Raw genomic sequence first — 3,179 nt, forward strand, 5'->3', positions numbered from 1 at the left:
CAACTTAGTTGTTGGTTTACGACAGTATCATAAATGACAGGATGATAGGAGTGGAGTAAGGGCAACATTCTGCATAGTGAGAGAAACAATTTGATTTTTAGTTGGACATTGCTTTACCATTTGCAAATTAAGGTAATTGGAATAAAGTGAATTCCAAAATGCCTTTTTAATGAAAATGCGTGGACTTAATTTCTTTTAGTAAATCAATATTGTTATTTTGTTAAAGCTATTTGACATTGAATGTGTATCTTGCAACTGATGATAAGTTATCCCATCTTAACCAAGGCTGTAGGTAACTGATGGTAACAATATACTACTGAGAGACAGTGGAATAACATCTGTAGTGATTCCTTTGTCAGTGGTTTTTAAAATGAAATAATTTGGAAAGTGTGGTTTTTACAACTTACATTTTTTTTCCTTGTAACTACAGGTTATTATGATGGTTGTAATGAAGATCATATTAGTATAACGGAGCTCTATGTTTCTGAATACTGAACAACTATTTATAAAATTTGATCCTACTTTTTCTCTATTAAAGGTATGACTGCTCTGCTCTGATAAACACACACAGACCTTTAGTTTTGATTTACATGAATTTAAATATAAGAAATATATTACTGTAAAATAAACTCTAGGTATGTAACAAACTTCTAGAAAATAATCATATTTATTTATGGTTGGTTACATTGAGAAGAAAATAAAAATATTAAAATGAAACAAATCCTTTTACAAGTGTTGACATCTTACCAGCAAGCCAGAAACTTCAAAGATTTTCAAAGCAAATCTATTTTCTCTGCTTTGTATTAAGCTCCTTGATTTAAAATGTGATTGCTAGTGGCTTAGAATCATCTTCTGCAAATTTTTCTTTTTTTGTAGGTTAGCCTGTTGCTCACCCTAGACATAATATATAATTTTCTTTTCATCAAAGTTCATAACACTTTCTTTGGACTGTGCTTGGTGGCTCATGCCTGAAATCCCAGCACTTTGAGTGGCTGAAGCAGGTGGATCTCCAGAGATCAGGAGTTTCAGACCGGCCTGGCCAACACGGTGAAATGCTGTCTTTACTAAAAATACAAAAATTAGGTGGGCATGATGGCGGGCTCCTGTAATCCCAGCTACTCAGGAGGCTGAGGCAGGAGAATCACTTTAACCCAGGGGATGAACATTACAGTGAGCCAAGATGGTGCCATTGCACTCCAGCCTGAGCAACAAAGCAAAACTTCATCTCAAAACAAACAAACAAGTGAAAAGACATTCTCTGTACAATCCCCTCAGAAATTATGAAAGTGACTTTGATAAAATGTAACGCTATTCGGAAAATAATTTTTACATGTGAGTAATTTTACAGTGCATGTATGGTATGCTATTTATTTAGTACATTTTGTATTTTTTCAATTTCAGAATTCTATTTAATCCAATTTTTTTGTTTACTTATTGACTATTTTACTCTATAAAGTTGACAGAATTGAGTTTATTAATTTTATTGGGCCAATATATTTAAGTAAACAATAGAACGTTTAGTAAGTCATGAGGTCTTTTTGACATACACATGAAGTAAACAAATACAATACTAGGTATGTAATGGAAGCTATGTAATTAGAAATAAATATTCCTTTTAAAATTAGCCTGTGGTCTCAAGTGAGAAATTTAAAATATCTATAGTAAATAAATGACATTAATTCTGCATACGAGGAGAGCATAATTGTAACCAATGCTGCACTAGTGAATCTCACAATTGAAACAAGATTAAGAGATGGACATTTTAGCAAAACTAAGTGAAAACGTTGTAAAATTTTCAGATTATGTTTCTGCATTTAAACATTTAGTGAGAGAAGTAGTGCACAAGTCTATCCAGTCAAACTTGAAATGGCTGACACATGTTAACCGTATTCACCCCAGGTATTGACACCTAAAATGCCCTGAACTCTTTTCATTTAGATTAACAAAGTATTGTTTTTGTCTTCGTCCTCTAAATTCTGGCTTAGACAGAATTATCCAGCCATTTCATGTAGATTTGATTCTAGATTATTTATTTATTTATTTATTTACTTACTTACTTACTTACTTACTTTTTGAGATAGAGTCTCACTCTGTCACCCAGACTGCAGTGCAGTGGCATGATCTTGGCTCACTGCAACCTCCACCTCCCAGGTTCAAGTGCTTCTCCTGCATCAGCCTCCTTAGTAGCTGGGACTACAGGTGTGTGTCATCACGCCTGGCTAATTTTTTATATGTTTTAGCAGAGGCTGAGTTTTACCATGTTAGCCAGGAGGGTCTAGATATTTTGACCTTATGATCTTCCCTCTTTGATCTCCCAAAGTGCTGGGAGTACAGGCATGAGCCACCATGCCCTACTGGATTCTAGATCTTGACACAGCACATTTTCAACTTAATGTTTCTGCAGATAGAAAAGCTGTGTAATATGGAAGAACAAAACCAAACATTTATTACAGTTCAAGGAGATTTTGTTTGTGCCCTGCTGTCCTGGATTCTCAGAAGTGTAGGGCTGGCAGACATTACTGGAAGGCAGAAGTGGGAAACAAGCCTAAATGAGAATTCCGTGTGCGTCAAGTTTGTCTTCTTAGGAACTGGAAGGATCAGCCTTCAATTCTGGGTAGATTACGGGCAGTTGGGGGGGTATATAAAGAGTGGTTACGTTCCATCAGGTTCTAAGTCAATCCACCTTCTGCAAGTAGTAAAACCCAGTAAAATTAGTATTTGTTTGAAATATGAATTGGGTGATTTTTAAAAATAATACACATAATAGGTTTGCTCTGTATATTTTTTAATGATTCTTTCACAAGAGCTCTTTAGCCTTATTTCTTTACTCAAGCAGATTCTGAATGTCATAAAATCTGCTTATTATCAGATACTGAAAGATAAAGCAAAGAATCTTTTTAATTTTTTGTGGGAAATTTAGCCTGTAAATTTAATCTCCTTTGTATAATCTTTAAGTTTTACTGTGGAAGACTAGATTTAGGTTTACTAAGTTTTTGGCAACTATAAAAGCATATTCATAATGTAACTTTTAAAGATACTATGAATATCAATTTTCAAGTGCGTTGATTTCTTTTTTTACTTGAGAAAGATAAGCTATTTGAGAATTATATTACCCAACATGTCCAAAAAATGTTTTTAATTTGCCTATTTAAAAAAATCTGTTGATTTTGAATTGCATA

General features: G+C 33.8%; 1 pseudogene; it reads left to right on the plus strand.

Annotated features, from left to right (window-relative positions):
- Positions 1,733-2,880, plus strand: TRIM60P9Y (tripartite motif containing 60 pseudogene 9, Y-linked; annotated as a pseudogene).

The sequence above is a fragment of the Homo sapiens genome, chromosome Y (assembly GCF_000001405.40).
Source record: "Homo sapiens chromosome Y, GRCh38.p14 Primary Assembly".
NCBI lineage: Eukaryota > Metazoa > Chordata > Mammalia > Primates > Hominidae > Homo > Homo sapiens.